This window comes from Homo sapiens, chromosome 3 (assembly GCF_000001405.40).
Source record: "Homo sapiens chromosome 3, GRCh38.p14 Primary Assembly".
Taxonomy (NCBI): Eukaryota; Metazoa; Chordata; class Mammalia; order Primates; family Hominidae; genus Homo; species Homo sapiens.
In genome coordinates this window covers 120,187,033-120,208,178 of record NC_000003.12, presented here as the reverse complement: position 1 = coordinate 120,208,178, position 21,146 = coordinate 120,187,033, and the positions used below count along the sequence as shown (strand labels likewise).

Sequence of the window (21,146 nt, the reverse complement as noted above, 5' to 3'; positions counted from 1 at the left end):
ATAAATCCATCCACTTACAGTCAGTTGATTTTTGACAAAAGTACCAAGAAAACACAAAAGAGAAAGGACAGCCTCTTCAATAAATGGTGTTGGGACAACTATGTATCCACATGCAAAAGAATGAAATTATGCCTGTTACCCCAGCACTTTGGAAGGCCAAGGTGGGCCGATCACTTGAGGTCAAGAGTGGAGACCAGCCTGGCCAACATGGTGAAACCCTGTCTCTATTAAAAATACAAAAATTAGCCAGGTATGGTGGCATGCACCTGTAATCCCAGCTACTTGGGAGGCTGAGGCAGGAGAATCATTTGGACCCAGGAGGCAGAGGTTGCAGTGAGCTGAGATCGCACCACTGCACTCCAGCCTGGGCAACAGAGAGAGACCCTGTCTTAAAAAAAAAAAAAAAAAAAGAAATTGGACATTGGACCCTTATACCATATACAAAAAATCCACTCAAAAATGAATTAAAAGCTTAAATGTATGACCTGATACTGTAAAAACTATCAGAATAAAACACAGGAGAAAAGCTCCTGCCATTGGTCCGGGCAATGATTTTTTGGTTATGGCCCCAAAAGCACAGGCAACAAAACAAAACATAGACAAATGGGATTAAACTAAAAAGTTTTTGCACAGCAATGGAAACAATAAACAGAGTGAAGAGACAACCTACAGAATGGGAGAAAATATTTGCAAACCATACATCTGGTAAGGGGTAAATATTCAAAGACTATAAGGAACTCAAATCAATAGCAAGAAAACAAATAATCCAATAAAAAGTGGACAAAGGACCTGAATAGACACTTCTCAAAAGAAAACATACAAATGTCCAGCAGGTATATGAAAAAATTCTCACATCACTGATCATCAAGAAATGCAAATTAAAACCATGAGTTATTAGCTCATACCTGTTAGAATGGCTCTTATGAAAAAGAGAGATAGCAAGAGTTGGGGAGGATTTGGAGAAAAGGGAACCCTATACACTATTTGTGAGGATGTAAATTAGTACAACTATTATGGAAAACGGTATGGAGGTTCCTCAAAAAATTAAAAATAGAACTATCATATAATCAAGCAATTCTACTTCTGGGTGTGTATCTAAAGGAAATGAAATCAGTGTATGAAAGAGATACCTGCACTCCCATGTTCACTGCAACATTATTCCCAATAGCCAAGATATGGAACCAACCTAAGTGTTCATTTACTAATGAATGGATAAAGAAAATGTGAGATATATATGTACACATACACACACACGATGGAGTACTATTTAGTCTTAAAGAAGGAAATCCTGGCATTTGCAAAAACATGGATGAACCTGGAAGACATTATGCTAAGTGAAATAAGCAAGACATAGAAAAACAAATACTACATGATCTCACTTACATGTGGAATCTAAAAAAGTTGAACTCATAGAAGCAGAGAGTAGAATGGTAGTTGCCACAGACTAGGGTGGAGGTGGTTGACAGAAATGGAGAGATGTTGGTCAGATCAAAGAGCACAAAGTTCCAGGTAGGACAGATAAGTTGTGGAGAGCTATACAGTATAGTGTCTATAATTAGTAATAACGTGTTGTATACTTGAAGAATTCCAAGAGAGTATGTCTTAAATGTTCTCACCATAAAAAAAGATAAGTATGTGCAGTGATGGATGTTGATTAAATTGATTTAATAATTTTAATTATTTCACAATATATACAAATATCAAAATACCATGTTGTATACCATAAATATATAATATTTGTCAATTCTGCCTTAATAAAGCTGGGAGAAAAAAACTGGAAACCCAAATATCCTTCAACAGGTGAATGGATAAACTGTGGGACATCCATACAATGGAATACTATCTAGCAATAAACATGGGACAAAGTATTGATAGATGCAACAACTTGGATGGAGCTCAAGGGCATATGCTGCGTGACAGATGTCAGTCTCACAAGCTTACACACTGTAAGAGTCCAGTTCTATACAACATTCTTAAAAGACAAATTTATAGTGATGGAGAATGGGTTAGTGGTTCCTAGGAGTTAGGTTGGGGAAGCGTGTCACTATAAAGGATAGCATGAGAGAGTTGTGTTTATAAGTGTGTATGTGTGATGGAACAGTTCACTATCCTGATTATGATGGTGGTTTCGTGTGGTGAATTTCATAGAAATCTATATATGTGATAAATTTCATAGGACTACACACACACACACACAAAGTGCACATAAAAACTGGTGAAATTTAAATAGAGCCTGTAGTTTATATAATAGTATTGCACTAATGTCAATTTCCTGATTTTGATCATGAACTCTGGTTATGTACGATGTTATTGGGGAAAGCTGGGCGAAGGATACACAGGAACTCTCTGTACTGTTTTTGCAACCTCTTGTGAGTCTTAAATAATTTCAAAATGAAAAGCTTTTGAGAAAAATAAAGCACAGGGATTTCTGACAAAAGCTAAATTAGAAAGCACTGCTTGACATAATGCTAAAACAGGACCCAGGAAGTGGAGAGCTCACTGCCTGGTGGAGGTGGGAAAGGGGTAAAGGGAAGTGGAGATTCTTGCCTTGAAGAACATTTGGTAGAACGTGGGCCAGGCCTCTCAAACAGGTCACTCCTGGCTTGGGGAGGAGCTAATACTAAGGTGGAAAGGGAAATGAAAGCTTACTTCTCATCAGCTTCCCATATGGGGAAGGGGGCCGGAATCTCTCCTCAATAGGCCTCCATTTTCTCAATAGGGAAAACGGAGAGAAGGGGAAAAGGGTTCCTCTTTAACAATGGTCACAAAAGGTGATGTGTGCAGTGAAAGATTAAATGGTATAAGAACTCAGGCTCTGGAATCAAACCCAGCCTCAAATCCAGTGGCTTGATTTTCTATTGAACTTTGCTATACCCTGTTTCTCTATTTAAAAACAGGGGTAATGATACTACTTAACTCTGAAAGCTGATTACATTAGATTGTCTATGTAGAGCACTTAGCAACCACCTAGCACATAGATAATCAGTGTTGGCTACTCTTTTTAATACTATTCTATGCCATTACCAATTTTCTAAGACGTAACAATAATACACTCAGATGATTCTGACCATAATGTAATTTTTGATTAAAGTTTCTTCAGGATCCTTCAATGCTTCCAACTCATAAATTATATCAGCCCTCAGTCCCTATATATGTAAATACAATTTAAATTAAAATAGTTGTTACTTTCTATTACATGTCTTTTATGTGCTTTGCACTTTAAATACACTATTTCTAACCTTTATAGCATGCAGGATAAATACTATTTTCCCCATTTTCAGATGAGGAAACTGCTTCAGAGTGGTTAGGCAAATCTCCAACATCTATAAACAACACAGTAAACCTAGGCAGTCTGATGGCAAAGCCCAAGCTCTTTCCACTACACTGTTACCTCAGTAGTAATCCATAAAAGATGCTTAAACACATACATATTGTCTATTAGTTGTTCTTTTTACATCACATTACATGGGCAGACTCTACAACTCCTGCCACAGCCTGGCGCAGACACTTCCAGGCCATTGCTGAAGCCAGTGGAGACACCAGACGATGACAGAAACCAAGAACCCAAAGCTGATTGTAGCAAGAATTCAGTCTGGAGTTCAGTCAGTAGATAAATCCGAGAGGCATCATGGAAATTGTGCCAAGGTCCAAGGTTCAAGCCAGCAGTCAGAATCTAAAGGGGCAGGCAAAACCCAGCAGGAGGCTCTGCAGGCTCTGTGCCCCCCGGGAGATTCATGGCTTCCTCTCTGTCTCCTCTTGTTGACACTGCCGGCTATAAATGGGGGCTTTGTGGATCCTCAGTTGAGGAGGCAGGTGAAAATTCTTGGCCTACCAGCACTACTACAGGACGTTAGAAACTAGGGCAGGAAGACCCTGGGTCTTCATTAATCAGTGTGATGAAAACAGGCCCCAGGCAGTTGGGTCCACTAGTGGGAAGTGAAAGAACACTGAAGGAAACCAGGAGTCAGGACATCTGGATTTGCTGTCCCAACATGGTCCCTATCTGGCGATAAAACAGCATGCAAATTTCTTCATCTAAAAATGAAGGAATCAGGTCAGATCACTGATTTTCAAACTGTGTTCCTCAGAACCCAAGGACTCCAGTCCTGCTGTGGAGAGATAGGTGGGAGCAAGCAAGGCCTTCCTGTACAGCACGCTTCCTTTCATCTCTTCCAAGTACTGAACCTTCTAATTCTAATGATTTATTCAGCGTAACAGGCATTTAATAAGTTTCTACTAGGCTCGGGGCCTTGTAGAAGGTGCTGATGGGGACAAAGCTGAGTAAAACCCAGTCCCAACATCATGAATTCCTAGATTCTGGCTTAATGGGGAACCATTCCAGCAGCTGTCACTGTTCAGGATTCCTCTCAGATTCCAAGATACACCAAGGCCCGGAGTTCTGCCACAGAATTGAAGATAAGAAAGAGAGGAAAGAGGCCGAGTGCAGTGGCTCATGCCTGTAATCTCACCACTTTCGGAGGCCGAGGCAGGCGGATCACCTGGGGTCAGGAGTTTGAGACCAGCCTGACCAACATGGAGAAACCCTATCTCTACTAAAAATACAAAATAAATTGGGCATAGTGGTGCACACCTGTAATCTCAGCTACTCGGGAGACTGAGGCAGGAGAATCGCTTGAACCTGGGAGGTGGAGGTTGCGGCGAGCCGAGATCGCGCCACCGCACTCCAGCCTGGGCAACAAGAGCGAAACTCCGTCTCAAAAAAAAAAGAGGAAAGAGGAATCTTCCCCAGTATGGCAGGCAATCTTTCCTGCCTCAAGGAGATCAATTTACATGTCACCTGGAAGCCCATAATATTCTGCTTTAGCAGTGACTCCTTGTGATTGGATGTTTCCTATGGCCAATTGTGCCTGTGCTTCATGCCCTACTTAAAATCAGGACATCTGCTCTGCCCTTTTGGAAGAGCTACAAGTCTCCTGCCAGGAATTGCTCAAGGCCTTTTCCTGCAGCTAAACGGAGAAAGGAAGTTGAAATCATTGCCTCATAAATTACAACACATGCCAGGGTTGTAACCTAGAGTCTGAGGTTCTAGGCGAAAAGAGGATTTTGTGTGTGTGTCTAGTGTTTTCCCCACAGCATTTAAAAGCTCATCTAAAATATATTATAATTGCATGAGATATGGCAAAAATACATTCAGAAACTAATTTTTTGAAGATAAACAAACAAAGCAGAATGTGCCCATAATATTCCTAAGTAAAGCCACACAAACTTCCTTTCCAGTAAGGGTATCCTTTGGGGCTTTTTCCCCCTCCTTGTCACCAACTTATCTTGAATTTATCACTATGCTTTTTCACTATTGTTCCTAAACTTCAGCTGTTATATAATGAGATAGTGGGCATTTAGTCTTATATCCAAATTTCCATATTTCAGCTTTTAAAATAGTTGCAAGGATGCTTTTAAAGTTGATCCTGGCCAGGAGAGGTGGCTCACTCCTGTAATCCCAACTCTTTGGGAGGCCAAGATGGGAGGATTGCTTGAGTCCAGGAGTTTGAGACCAGCCTGGGTAACAATGAGACCTTGTCTCTGCAAAAAAATAAAAATTAACTGGGTGTGATGGCATGCACTTGTAGTGCCAGCTACTTGGGAAGCTGAGGTGGGAGGATTGCTTGAGCCCAGTAGATAAATGTTGCAGTAAGCCAAGATCATGCCAGTACACTCCAGCCTAGATTAGAGAGTGAAACTCTGTCTCAGAAATTAAATTAAATTAAATTAAAAAGTTGATCCTAGCAAACTAACACCGGAACAGAAAACCCAACACCGCATGTTCTCACTCATAAGTGGGAGTTGAACAATGAGAACACATGGTCACAGAGAGGGGAACATCGCACACCGAGGCCTGTTGGGGGTTGGGGGCAAGGGGAGGGAGAGCATTAGGACAAATACTTAATGCATGTGGGGCTTAAAACCTAGATGATGGGTTGATAGGTGCAGCAAACCACCATGGCACATGTATAACTATGTAACAAACCTGCACATTCTGCCTATGTATCCCAGAACTTAAAGTAAAATAAAAAAAGAAAGAAAAAAAAAGTTGATCCTTAGGCCTGTTTATAGTCCAAGGGAGCTGTGAATGCTGAAATTTGTACACTGTCAATTTATATGTATATTCACATATTAATATCTATAGTACACATAGATTCAGGAATGTAGACTTTTGTCAAATGGCCTAGTAGATACTGATAAAACAACTTCTAATATTAAATTAAAATTTTATTCTATTTTAAAGAAAAAGAACAAATAAGAAAATCGTCTTTGCAATGAAAAGGTCAGAAACCAAGGATGTGGTGTCCTAATATGCTGATAGCAGAGATTATATCTCCTTTGCCTTCCTATCACTGGTTCTTAATACCTTGGCAAGTTAGTATTTAGGAATTGTTGAATTAATGTTTGGCACATGAAGATCATTAAAGCAATAACTCATAAAGCATGGGGAAAACAAGGTCATTTGCTAAAGGGGAATTTGGGGGCACGATATTTAGCAAGTCTTCTTTCACACTTATAGCTAAATATTTTGTTTATTTGATTATTTGATTGATTTGGGTGTAAATTCTATTGCACCTCTGGTAAACCAAGTCAGCCTGCCCTTCCTGGTTAAGAAAGAGAGACAGAAATGCAAAGTGTAACCAGCTTATTAATAAGCCGAGGATAGAGAAAAGAAATTTGTCTCTGGGCTGGGAGCAGTGGCTCATGCCTGTAATCCTAGCACTTTGTGAGGCCGAGGCAGGCGGGTCACTTGAGCCCAGGAGTTTGAGATCAGCCTGTTCAACATGGTGAAACCCCATCTCTACTAAAATTACAAATATTAGGCAAGGATGGTGGCATGTGCCTGTAATCCCAGCTACTTGGGGTGGCTGAGACACGAGAATCGCTTGAACCCGGGAGGTGGAGGTTGCAGTGAGCTGAGATCGCCTCACTGCACTCCAGCCTGGCTGCACTCTAGCCTGGGCAACAGAGTGAGACTTTGTCTAAAAAAAAACAAAAAACAACTGTCTCTGGCATAACTTGAGAAGGGAGAAGCTAGAAGAGACCTTTGGTTTCATCAGGTCCAAGCACTGCTAACCATTCAGCTATTCTGTGGGCAGAATGTCTTTGTTCTTCCAGGTGCAACTTCAGCAGCTGTGGGCCTGAACTGACAGTGCGGGGTAAGGATATCACTCTCTCCATGTGAAACAAAGCAGGACTACAGGAAAGCAGGCTGATTTGGAAAGGCCAGGCCCACCCAGGACAAGAGGCAGTGCTGAGTGTTTGGCTCATGACAAAACATAATTTACAAATTTACTGGCTTCAAGGATGTAAAAAGTTATAATTTACTGGCTTCAAGGGTGTAAAAAGGCCTGCTTCCTAGCCTAGCTGCAAGCAGCAACTCAGTCCATGATCAGCAGATTTTCTGAAGCCTGGGGGTGGGATGCATGTTGTTAACCTCTGATGCAGATGTCTGCTGAGAGTCTGTAATCTGTGTGGTCATGAAGATGAGATTTCATCCATCAATTGCTTGACAAGGGCTATCATCGTATCTCTGGGCCTGCGTGGCTCTCAACACACGACGTAAGAAACATATTGGACAAAAGCATTTCCTGGGAGAATTCTCCAGCAAGAATTCAGCCATTGGCAAAGAATCTTTCAAGTGGCCCTATCTCACTGGAGACAAGTAAACATATACGCAGTGCATATGTGAATATACACTCCTTCAAGGTGCTGCACTTTCCTAGAAACAAAAAGAATGAGAGGAAAAAGCTTTACAGGCATCCTGTTAGGATGCTTTCTCTCGTTTATTTTTAGGCTCTTTTCAGCTCTGTGCTAAGAGGGGAGGCAAAGGAAGGGCTTACCCAGAATGCAAAGCTTTTTAGTGAGGGTTTGGGGTGTGCAAATTTGTTAAAGTGGTGAAAACCCAGTGTCTATGGAAGTTCACAGCATCCACAGCACTCAGAGCCCCCCAAATATCTCTGGCCCTTGTGTTCACTAATTCCAAGGAATTCTCAGCCATTCCAGGGGACTGTGGGGATCCCCCTGAAACCACTACAATTACCCAGAATGTGCCCCTCCTAACACATAGGCATTGAACCAGTTCCTAACTCTCCCCCAACTCTCACAGATCTCTAGTACTTTAAGAGCCATATGGCACACATGCTTAGCCCTCAGCCTTCTGCCTAATAGGGGAGTGCTTTGCCAGGGAAAAATAAGATTAGGGAAGAGGACAAAGAAAGAAGAAGAGAAGGAGTTTCCATATCCATTAATGAATTCATTCAACAGATGGTTATGGAACACTTACCATTTTCCAAAGACCGTACTATGGTGTGGGTTATAGAATAAGAAACAGCCTGGCTTTTGAGGAGTAGAAACTGTCCGGTGGAACTAACATTAAAAGGTGGTAATATAACATGACAATTGTACTGATGCACATAGACCCTGGGGTGTTTTAGGGACATAGAGGATGGCACCAAACCTAGACTGAGGGCATCATCCAGACAGATACATGCTCTTGTTTCTGTGAGTCCTGTGAGGTGAGTCACTCACAAAGAAAATGTAAAGAAATAACTCAGAATAAATAAAAAGATAGATGGCACAGTAAGCTTGGCAGATTGATGTTGGAGAACGTCAGTTTTGGTGGCAACAATCTGCAAGGTTGTCTAATTTTCTCCTGCACCACTCGGCTGCCCGGATGCAAAAGCAGACAATGGATTGTGGCTCTGATCTGAGTTTTATTGGGCAGATGCTGCAGAAGGGCTTGTTTGAAAAGGGAATAGGATGTTATTGAGAGAACAGTTCAGATGACCAACCAGGGATCTGAAATTAGGTAGAGACAGTAAGAGAGACTGATAAACTATGAGGAAGCAAAAGAACCAAGTGACTGGAGGTCTATAGGCTGTCAATGTACAAATGTGGCAGGAGTAAGCACATGAGAGGGCTGGAGGATAGGATGCTCACTCATTTATTCCTCAGATGTTTATTGAGTGCCTTCAGTGTCCAGGTAGTGTTCTAGTTCTGAGAGTACATCATGCACAATGCTATTGGGAGGAGAAAACAATAAATAAAATCATAATAATAAACAAGTAAATTATGTAATATGTTAAAAGGTAATAAGTACTATGGTTGGATGGGGGCAGGGGAAGAGAATAGAGCAGAATAAGAATTCAGAATTCCGAGGATAGGGTATAATTTTAAATAGGGTTGTCATCATAGCTCTGGTTGAGAAGGTAACATATGAACACACAATCAGGAGAGAAAGAGGATGAGCTATGCAGATACATGTATTGAAATATTCCAGGCAGAGAGAACAGCCACTTCAAAGCCTCGCAGTGTGTGAGTGCCTGGTGTTTTCAAGGAAAAGCAAGGAGGCTGTGTGGCTGGAGTGGAGTGGGCCTGGAGAAGATGTAAGAAATGAGGTCAAGAAACAACAGGGATCGAGTGTGTAGGCTTTGTAGACTCTGGTAAAGACTGGCTTTCCCTCTGGGAAATAGAGAGTCATTGTGGGGTTTTGAGCACAGAAGTGATGTGATCTTATGTCTCTTTAATGGATTACTCTAGCTGCTATGTTGAAAATAGACTTGAGGGAAGTGCCAGGGTAGAAGCAGGGAGACCAGTTAGGAGGCTATTGCAATAATCCAAATAAGAAATGCAAAGTAAGACTTTGATCAGGTGGTGGCAGCAGAGGTGGTGAGAAGGAGTTAGATTCTGGATGTATTTCGAGGATAGAGCCAACAAGATTTATGACAGATTGGATGTGGGTAGTGAGCAAGAGTCAGGATGACTCCAAGGTTTTTGGTCCAGGCAAATTGAAAGGTGGAGTTGCCATTATCTGAAATGGGGAAGAAGGTGAGCAATTGAGAGGGAGACTTGGAGTTAAATTTTGAACAGATTGTAGTCAAATTGGTGTTGGGATATTGGTGTTTACAATTCCTGAAGGGGAACCATTCTGAGTGACCCTAAGACCCAGAGTGTAACCTGGGGATGGGTGTCTGAAGAGGAATAAAGTGAAATCATTATGATTGAATAATTTAGAACTCTGGAGGCTGAAAAGCTAATGAAATCTCCTAGGATGTTCTACGAGGATGGTGGCCCAGGCACGAGAGTAGGGAACGGGGTCAGGCCTTATGATGGATACTTTAAATACAAATAGTTAGAGGTCACACTAATATTAGCTTGAGGTGTGCAGAATTTTAATTGGGTGCAGATTAGTGTATACATTAGAAATAAGCAAGATATTAAAAGATCAAATTTGCTGAAACACATCAGATAACATTATGATAAAGGTATTTGGAGTTTTATTTGAGTTAGATTTACAATCCCATTGTAGCATGGATCAAAAACAGTAAGTTGATAAAGAAATCAGATAAATTTTCACAATTTAAATTTTAATTGTTTTATTAAAAAGCATTTTGGAAAGACATTCATATTTGGTTTTGGATAGGTTAAAGCTCAGTGATACCATTTACATCAATTTTTATAGCATTTTAGAGAGCATGGTCTTGTGACATCTTAGGATAAGTTTTCTGTTAGTCACAGCATGCCAACAAGTACCTTGTGCTCCATTCTCTGGCCATGTTTTCAGACTCAGTAACTTCAAATAAAATAAACTGCCAAGTTGAGAAATTAACATTTGATAAAGTTTTTGCAACATCATACCATTGAGCTGGTGGATGTGGCTTAAGCATCTGAATTCATTAGAGACTATTGAAATGATAATGCAGAATTATACAGGTTTTGCAGATGTAGTTCAATATTTATCTATATGTATTGAAACCTCACTTGAGGATAGAAAAATCAAGCAAGTTCTTGTCTTACATTTCCACTCAATAAATGAAGAGGAAGAGATAATGAGAAAGCTATATAATCCTTTAAAAAAAAAATTCACCTTGTTTCTGACTGACAGTAACCCAATTCAGGCTTTTTACTCTTCATAAATGGAAGACAAGTAACCTAGATAGTACTGGCTATCTATAATTAAATATACAATATTGAAATCTATTTGCTTTGTGGAAATTATGTGTTTGTGGCTGATTAAAATATTCAGCTATGTAGGCTTCATCTTTTAGCTCAATAGAAAAATATAAATGACATTGGTGACTGAATTCCTACCAACGTGGCAAAGACATTCCCCAGACATACATAATTCACCTGCTGAATTGGAGATGATTCACCTTTCAGTGACTTCACAGGTGTTAACTTGGCCAAACAAAAAAGGGAAATCATCTTGTATTCATCTTTTGTTCCCTGAGGCAAGTTTTCAGTAAGATTGCTCGGGAAAAATATCACAATATACATATATAAGTCCATAGTATGTCTATTTGAATAATGAATTAGCACCACTGTCTGAGAGGTGAAAACTATTCAATGTATATTTTCTGGAAAATAACTAAATTGAGTTCCTCTTAACTAAATCAGAAAGAGAAGGAATCCTCAATCAGGATTTCATGTAGTACTGTATCACTCAAAGGAAAACTGATTGTATAGTGGTACTCAAATAAAGTGGGTCCAAAGAAAAATTATGAGAGAAACGTACCGATCAGTGATCTGGACCAAACAGACATGTGGCTGTGAAATCCAGGCAGTTGCTTGGTGACGAGGTCACCATCAGATAGTCATGGCTTATGTGCAGGAATGTGAGAATGGCCATGGGGAGGAATGGCCTGGGTTATGGGTCTTGCAGGAGTCCCACTGCTTGTGCCATTGCTCAAACTTCTGACTGCCCTGTGCAGCCGGTGCCAGGTCAGCAGTACTCTCTGCTCTGAATCAGTGTCAGCACTGGTCTCTCTAATGTAGTACCTTTCTTCAAAAAATGCTTTGTGAAGCTGCTGGTTAGCACTGTTCTTACTTCTGTAGTTAATATTCACCACATATTCCCCTTCTTTTGTGGAGAGATAAAGAAATTAAGGAAAATCACTCTCCATAAGTCCACAATCTGAAGACATGGAGGCTGAGGAGGCAGACCTGAATGAATAAGTGGATCATATGATAGGGCTAGATCTTAAATTTGGATACAGGAGACTTAAGGTAAACCACAGAAGCTTGTTGTTTATACATGTAGCTCTTTTGCTAAATATAAATGTGGCATGTGAAGATTAATAAATCTGAATGTAATGTACAGAATGTACTAGAACAGGAAAAAATTGGTGTTTACTGAGAGCTGAAGGTTACATCAAAAATCTAAAAAGTAATATTTTTGCATCATCTTAAAGTTTGCAAACAGTTTTGGCACATACATCATCTCATCTTTGCAATAACCTGTGGGGTAGATACAAAAGATGATGTTATTTTCATTTTCCAGATGAGGAAATAGGAGCCTGTTTCCTGGTCAGACAGGCTTAGTCAGCTGTGAGTGGCAGAGCTGGTGTTCCCACCTGTTACCCTCAACCCCAGTTCCATTGCTCCTAACATGATTGTATCCTGGATAAACATGGTATCAAGAATGGAGAGGCCAAGCGCGGTGGCTCACACCGGTTATCCCAACACTGTGGGAGGCCGAGGTGGGCGGATCACCTGAGGTCAGGAGTTCGAGACCAGCCTGGCCAACATGGTGAAACCCCATCTCTACTAAAAATGCAAAAATTAGATGGGTGTGGTGGTGCGTGCCTGTAAACCCAGCTACTGGGGAGACTGAGGCATGAGAATCACTTGAACCTAGGAGGTGGAGGTTGCAGTGAGCCGAGATTGCCCCACTGCACTCCATCCTGCACAATAGAACAAGACACTGTCTCAAAAAAAAAAAAAAAATGGAGAGTGAAATTTGGGAGGCTGAGGCAGGCAGATCACTTGAGGTCAGGAGTTTGAGACCAGCCTGGCCATCATGGCAAAAGCCTCTCTCTACTAAAAATACAAAAATCAGCCTGGCGTGGTGGTGGGCACCTGTAATCCCAGCTGCTCGGGGCTGAAGCAGAAGAATTGCTTGAACCTAGGAGGCAGAGGTTGCAGTGAGCCAAGATCATACCACTACACTCCAACCTGAGCAACAGAGAGAGACTCTGTCTCAAAAAAAAAAAAGGATGGAGAGTGAGAGAAAACTCAGAGACTTTGAAATAAGAAGTGAAAGAGGCCGGGCACAGTGGCTCACACCTGTAATCCCAGCACCTTGGGAGACCGAGGCAGGCAGATCATTTGAGGTCAGGAGTGCGAGACCAGCCTGGCCAACATGGTGAAACCTGTCTCTACTAAAAACACAAAAATTAGCTGGGCATGGTGGCGGGCACCTGTAATCCCAGCTACTCGGGAGGCTGAGGCAGGAGAATCACTTGAACCAGGGAGGCAGAGGTTGTGGTGAGCCAAGATCATGCCATTGCACTTCAGCCTGGGTGACAGAGCAAGACTCTGTCTCAAAAAAATTAAAAAAAGAAGAAGAAATGAAAGAAACTTGGCAATTGATTGGGTGTTTCTGATAAAGAAACAGAAGAAGGAAAAGGTGATTCCTAGGTTTCTAAAACCTGGAAGAGGTGGACAGTGAGATTATAATATAAGCAGCTGATGTTGGCAACATGCCTACTATGTGCCAGGCCATGTGCCAAGCATTTTGCCATATTGCCTTATTAAATCCTTACAACTCTTTGAAGGTAGATCGCATAATTATTATTCTCATTTTAGAAAAGGGTGTGCATGAAAGTTGCTCTCACTTTTAGAAAAAGAAAAAAATCTTCCCTCCAAAACAAGGCTAAGCTCAACTGGATTCACTGGCCTATGCTGACAGTACCTGGGGCCTGGGACAGTGGTTTGGTGTTCTTGTGTGTATGGATGTATTACAATGTCAGACACAAAGTAACTAAGCCGTGCTCCTGGCGGTTATGATGCTTGCAAATCCAGCACTGCCAAACTGTTTAGTGCCTCCTAGGTGCTTTGCCTGTGGTTAGAACAAGCTTCACTAAGTGGATAGTTTTGCCTTGGCCCTGCCTTTAAGGCAGTCTGCCATGTCATCAAGAGACATAGGTAAGAATGCTCTCCTCCTTAGTTATGATTTAAAAATAAAAGTATAACAAAGTATAATTATCAAATGACTATTAGTAGAAATGTTGCATTTATATACACTATTTAGATTACAATTCTTAAATACAATGTCTTTCCTTCTTGTTACTTGTAATTAATTAGTATCAGTCACTGTCCAGTGTGAGCCTGGCATTGCCCTTAGGTTAACCAGTTCACATCCTGAACTTCTGTTGGTGCCCAGGGTATTTGTCTGAAACCCTGATTATTTACATCTCCCTCTAACTTTCAAATTTGTCTCCAATCTCATCTAAAACTATTAATACTTGAGAAAAGGCCTTTCCCCAATTTCCTGCTTCTAATCCCTTTATCCTCTTTCTTTCTTGGAAAAGTAGAGGAAAATGGTTTACATATCAAATAAAGTAAATAGTATATGAAAAAAAAAAAACCTCTAAGGGCTCCAAACTCTGTGGATATCTACCTGCTGGTTATTTATTCACTAAGCTGCACATAGCAATCCCCTAGCAACCATAAACTTCATGCATAAAATCCCAACTCTTCTCCAATACCACCTGTTTGTAGGTAGTCATCCTTCTTTTAAAAGACTTGGGAGTTATACAAGGAATAAGTGCCAGAGTTTAGTTCTTTGTGAAAATAAATTTAAAGAAATTATAAGTTTTCACAGGGCTGTAAAGATGTTTCTTCCCAGTGGTCCTTCACTCCAAGGCTGCACTGGAGATTATGCTGGTGAGGAAGCTTTGGTCTCGTAGGTCTTTGGCCCCAAGGCAAAAGGTCATGGCTGTAAGTGTCTTTCTTCCTGATCCCCTCTAGGATTGTGAAGATGTCCAGTCCCAATCTGAACATTGTGACCTTACTGGGCAGTTGTCTCACTTACAGTAGCGCTTACCTCTTTGGGATTCAGGATGTTTTAGTGGGGAGCTCAATGGAAACTCTCATTCAGGTAGGTGAAGTTTTAAAATTTGGTTTTGACTATAAAGTTTTGATTATTTTTTTAAACCAGCTGCTCCCGTGGGTGGTGGTTTCCTTTATCCTTGGAGTGGGCACTTTTCGAGGGAATCCCAGAACACTTGGTGAGGTTCACTCTGTACCTCGTGCGCTCTGTGGGACCCAGACCCTACAGATCAGAGTGTGTGGAGAACTGATAAAGGTTCCTCTTGTGACTCTTCTGTCCCCTTCCACCCATAGACAAGACTGTCCATGCTGTGCATTGGGACCTCCCTTGTGTTTGGCCCCATTCTGGGAAAGAGCTGGCGACTCTACAAGGTGTTTACCCAAAGGGTCCCGGACAAGAGAGTGGTGAGTAGGCAGCAAGTACACAATGCTTGACTGTAGATGGTAGCTTCAGCATTGGTTAACAGCTAGAGAAGCTCATGCACATTACTGAGCCTAGCCCCTTTCAGGACATCCAAAGTTCCTGTTTCTCATTCCAAACCCTGGAATCATGCAGCCTCATAAGGCCTCAGGTCTGGAAGGCTGTGGATCAGTGCTGTTGAAGATAGGGCTTCAAACGTGGGCTCTGGTTCCTATGTACCCCAGGCCCTGTGGGGACATGTGAGCTGGCCAATACCTGGCACCAGTGTGAGGCAGAACAAGATACCCAGAGACTGTTGTTTGGCACAGGTGCGAGCTGGAAGTGAAGGGAGGAAGAGTGATTACAGAGAAACTATAGCAAGTAAGTAGTTATTTCCTTCCCTGGAGTCCAGTTCTTTTCTATGTAGAAGGCAGTTCTCTGTACTGAGAAGGATGTGCCCAAAGCAGTGAGCAAGGAAGAGCAGATAGAATCAACTCTAAGTTATGTAGCAGCCAGATCACCGACATGTCCCTGGTATCAGTCATCAACTTAACCACATTTCCCCATTTTATCAGGTTGTCTGATGAGACTGCTCAAACCTCAATTCCTGACCATTATCCTCATTGGGTATAGGCCCTGCCCAGACCCAATATATCATTCAGTTGGTGTTTACTTCTCTGGAATGATGGGAATTTATTTTAGCAAATGTTATTGAATCATGGTGCATACTTACCAAAAGCTCAGCTGTGAGCAACCATACCTATGAAGAAGATTGCCTAAAAGGACAAAAACTGCATTCATCCCTCAAGAACACCAATTTCTTTTTTAAACAGCTTTACTGAAGTATAACTGACATGCAGTGAACTGCACATATTTAAAGCATATGATTTGATAAATTGTGACATGGATATACAACCAAGAAACATGGTGCATAATGAACATATCCCTCATCTTCAAAAGCTTCCTTGCAACCCTTTGTTATCTCCCTCCCCTGTCCAATCCTTATATCCCTTGTTCCTATCCTCAGAAAATCATTGATTTGCTGTCACTGTAGATGAGTTTGCATTTTCCAGAGTTTTACATAAATGGAACCATGCAGTATGGACTCTGTTTTCTCTGGCTTATTTTACTCACATAATTGTTTTTATGAATATTATAGTTATTTATCTATGTTGTGTGCATCAATAGTTATTTCTTTGTTATTGCTGAGTAGTATTACAATGCATAGACACAATTTGCTTATCTGTAGATGGATGTTTGGGTTATCGCCAGTTGTGGCGATTAAAATTAAAGCTGCTATGAACATTCGTGTACAAAGTCTTTGTTTAGACATAGGCTTTTATTTCTCTTGGGTGAAAACCTAAGAGTATGGTTGGATCATATGGTAAGTGTATATTTAACTTTTTAAGTAACAGTCAGACTGTTTTTCGAAGTGGTTGTACCATTCTGCATTTCCACCAGCAATGTATGAGAGTCCATTTCCTCCACATTCTTGGCAACATTTGATTTGATCAGTCTTTTTCATTTTAGGCATTCTAATAGGTATGTGTGGTAGTATCTCATTATGCTTTCAAATTTGCATTTCTCTAATGCAGTATTGAGCATTTCTTCACTTGCTTATTTGCCATCCATACACCTTCTTTGGCAAACTTTCTGTTCAAATCTTCCACCCATTTTTTTTTTTTTTCTGAGACAGAGTTTCATTCTTTCGCCCAGGCCGGAGTGCAGTGGTGTGATCTTGGCTCACTGCAACCTCTGCCTTCTGCTTTCCAGCAATTCTCCTGCCTCAGCCTCCCAAGTAGCTGGGATTACAGGCACCCACCAGCACACCCGGCTAATTTTTGTATTTTTAGTAGAGATGGGGTTTCATCATGTTGACCAGGCTGGTCTCGAACTCCTGACCTCGTGATCCGCCTACCTTGGCCTCCCAAAGTGCTGGGATTATAGGCATGAGCCACCACACCCAGCCTCACTCATTTTTAAATTGGATTTTTTGTTGTCTTATTATTGAGTTTTGTGAGTTCTTTTTATATTCTGGATACAAACCCTTTATCAGATGTATGATTTGCAAAGATTTTCTTCCAGTTTGTTCTTTTGTTCCTTTTACTTTCATTTACTTCAGAATGTCTTTCAAAGATAAGACATTTCTCATTCTGATGAAGTTGAATTTACCAATGTGTTCTTTGTTTTTAGGTTTCTTGTTTATTTGTTTGTTTGTTTTTGTATTTTTAGTAGAGACGGGGCTTTACCATGTTGGCCAGGCTGGTCTCAAACTCCTGGCCTCAAGTGATTCACCAGCCTCAGCCTCCCAAAGTTCCAGGATTACAGGCATGAGCCACCACACCCGGCCCCAATGTGTTCTTTTATGGATCATGTTTTTGGTATTATATTTAAGAAATTTTTGCCTAACTTAAGGCCCCAAAAGGTTTTCTCATGTGTTTACTTCCAGAAATTTTAGAGTTTTAGCTTTGACATTTAGGCCTATGATCGGTATATGGTATGATGTATTGATTGAATTTTAGTTTTTTACATATAGACATTTGATTATTCCAACATCATTTGTTGAAAAGATTGTCCTTTCTTCACTGAATTACCTTTGTGCCTTTGTTAAATCAGTTGTCCATAAGTGTGTAGATCTATTTCTGGACCCTCCATTCTGTCTCACTGATGTGTCTATCTCAACAGCAATGCCATATTACCCTGATTACTGTAGCTTTATACTAAATCTTGAAATCAGGTAGTATTAGTTCTTTGACTTTCTTCTTCTCTTTCAATGCTGTTTTGGCTAATCTGGGTCCTTTGAATGCCCATGTGAATTTTTGAATCAGTTCACTGATTTCTACAAAAATTCTTTTGGGATTATGTTGAATCTAATAGATCAAATTATGGAGAATTGGCTTCTTACTAATGTTGTGTCCTTTGACCCATGAACCCATTTATTTAGGTCTTTAATTTTTCCCATCATTTTTTTGTACTTTTCAATATTGCTCTTTCACATCTTTCATCAAACTTATTTCTAGGGATTTTATATTTTTATGCTATTTTATATGTTACTATTTTTTTAAATTTCACTTTCCAGTTGTTTGTTGCTAATAAATAGAAATATAATTATTATTATTATTTTTTTTTGAGATGGAGTCTCACTCTGTCGCTTAGGCTGGAGTGCAGTGGTGCGATCTCGGCTTACCGCAACCTCCGCCTCCCGGGTTCAAGCAATTCTCCTACCTCAGCCTCCCAAGTAGCTAGGATTACAGGTGCCTGCTACCACACCTGGTTAGTTTTTGTATTTTTAGTAGAGATGAGGTTTTACCGTTTTGGCCAGGTTGGTCTCAAACTCCCAACCTCAGATGATCTGCCTTCCTTGGCCTCCCGAAGTTCTGGGATTACAGGCATTAGCCACCATGCCTGGCCACAGAAATATAATTAATTTTTATATGCTTAGCTTGTATACTGCAACCTTGCTAAACTACATGTTAGTTCTAGCAGCTTTTTTATAGAGTCTATCAGATTTTCTACAAAGATGATCATATCAGCAGTGAATAAAGATAATTTATTTCCAATCTCTTGTCTGATTGCACTGGCTAGATACAATAGTACAATCTGAATAGAAGTGGTGAGAGCAGATATATTTGTTATTCTTGATCCTATGGGGAAAACAGTCAAAACTAAGAATGATATTAGCAGTAGTTTTATTGTAAATTCCATTTATCCAGTTGGGGCAGTACTATTCTATTCTTATTTTGCTGAGAGTTTTAATCAAGAACTGATGTTGGGTTTTGTCAAAAGCTTTTTCTGGGTCTATTGAGATGATCATACAGTTTTTCTTTTCTTAGTTTATTCGCATGGTGGATTATGTTAAATGGTTTTTTTTTTAAACCCTTACACAATAGACTTTATTTTTTAGAGTAGTTTTAAGTTAACATAAAAATTGAGCAGAAGGTACAGAGGTTTTACATATACAGTCTTTCCCCACACATGCATAGCCTCTCCCATTATCAATATTCCCCATCAGAGTATATACTTATTACAATTGATGGAACTACATTAATACGTCATTATCACCCAGAGTCTGTACTTGACATTAGGGTTCACTTTTGGTGTTGTACATTTTATGGGTCTGGACAAATGTGCAATGACATGTATCTACCATTACAGTATCATACAGAGTAGTTTTACTGCCCTAAAAATCCTCTATGCTTCTGCTCATTATCTCTTTCTCTCCCCATATGTTAAATGATTTAGGGTGTCAAACCAACCTTCCATCCCTGGGATTAGCTTCATTTGGTCATGCTACATTATCCTCTTCATATATTGTTGGACTCAGTTTTATAAAAACTTTGTTTAGAATTTGTACATTCATGTTTTTAATACATATTGCTCTGTGGTTGCCTTGTAATATATTTTTCTAGTTTTGGTATCAGGGTAATGTTGGCTTTATAAAATGAGTTGGGAACTATTCCCTTCTTTTCAATTTCAGGAATAATTTCTATAGAATAGCATAATTGGCACTCATGTATAAGTACCTTACAATAGTATGCTTCCTTTTATCCCCATTCCTATCTTTGCTGTTACATGTTATAGGCCCCATGCAATTCTTTTGTTTAATAAATCAATTATCTTTAAAAATATTTTATTTTTTTATTTTTAAGACCCAGGACAACATGCTGAATTTTGTTATTTTCTTTAATGATATTTAAATAATGAAAACTAATCATGTATTTTTCTGTTTAGTTACCATTTCCAGTGTTCTTAATTTCCTGTATAGATCCACATTTTTATCTCATATTATTTTCCTTTGCCTGAAGGATATCTAACATTCCAGTGTGGGTGTGCTACTACTGAATTCTTTCAGCTTTTGATTATCTGAAAAAGTCTTTATTTTGCCTTCATTTCTGAAAGATATATTACTGAGTATAGAATTCTAGACTGAAATTTTCTTTTCTTCTTCTAGTACTTTCAAGATGTTCCTGCACTGTCTTCTCACTTGGCCTTGTATCTGATGAGAAGTGTCAGGTTTATTTTATGTCTACACAAAATGTGTCTTTCTTCACTGCTTGCTTTGAGTAGTTTCCCTTTATCACTGGTTTTGAACAGTTTGATTAGGCAATTGGTTTGTTTTTAATTTTACAAACACCTTGAATCACGTAACTGGTTGTGCTTCTTTTCACTGGTTGTCAAAAGCTCAGATCCACATTTCTTCTGCTCCAATTAGTAAATGCTATTATATATACACTCTTCATCTGAGCCTTCATCATAATTCCCTTTATTTTCTCTCTTCCCGGTTGTTAAATATTTTAATCCTATCACAGTATATATTTTTCTCAATTTTATTTTTGTAGTCACAAACTAACACATTCTCTTCATCCTAAGTCAAATACGGATGGTCCCTGACATAAAACAGTTCAACTTACAGTTTTTCTATTTTACAATGGTGTGAAAGCAATCCACATTCAGTAGAAACCATACTTAAAATACCCATACAACCACTCTGTTTTTCACTTTCAGCACAGTAGTCAATACATTTTATGAGATATTCAACACTTCATTATAAATTAAATTAAGCTTTGTTTTAGATGATTTTGCCCAGGTGTAGGCTAATATAAGTGTTCTGAGCACATTAAAGGTAGGCTAGGTTAAGCTGCAATGTTTGGTAGCCTAGGTGTATTAAATGCATTTTTGACTTATGATATTTTCAACTTATGATGGGTTTATCCGGACATAACCCCATCATAAGTCAAGATCATAAGTCAATCTGTAATTCATATGTATATAATGAAAATGCTAATGATTCTTCCTGCATCTCTGAGTCCCACCCTCTCAGTTAATAGTTATTAACATTGTGGTGTGACATTCATATCTATGTGCTTATATAAACATATAGAAATAATAGTTTATTTATTTTATAAAACAC

At 39.8% G+C, this 21,146-nt stretch overlaps 1 protein-coding gene across 6 annotated transcripts in view; it reads left to right on the top strand.

Annotated features, from left to right (window-relative positions):
• Positions 1–21,146, top strand: part of GPR156 (G protein-coupled receptor 156) — a 119,745-nt gene that overhangs the window by 77,044 nt on the left and 21,555 nt on the right. For all 6 annotated transcript variants that reach the window (NM_001168271.2, NM_153002.3, XM_017005796.2 and 3 more), the window contains 2 exons: positions 14,755–14,884; positions 15,130–15,240. In NM_001168271.2, the coding sequence (NP_001161743.1) occupies positions 14,755–14,884; positions 15,130–15,240 (241 nt within the window). The remainder of the gene's footprint in view (positions 1–14,754; positions 14,885–15,129; positions 15,241–21,146) is intronic.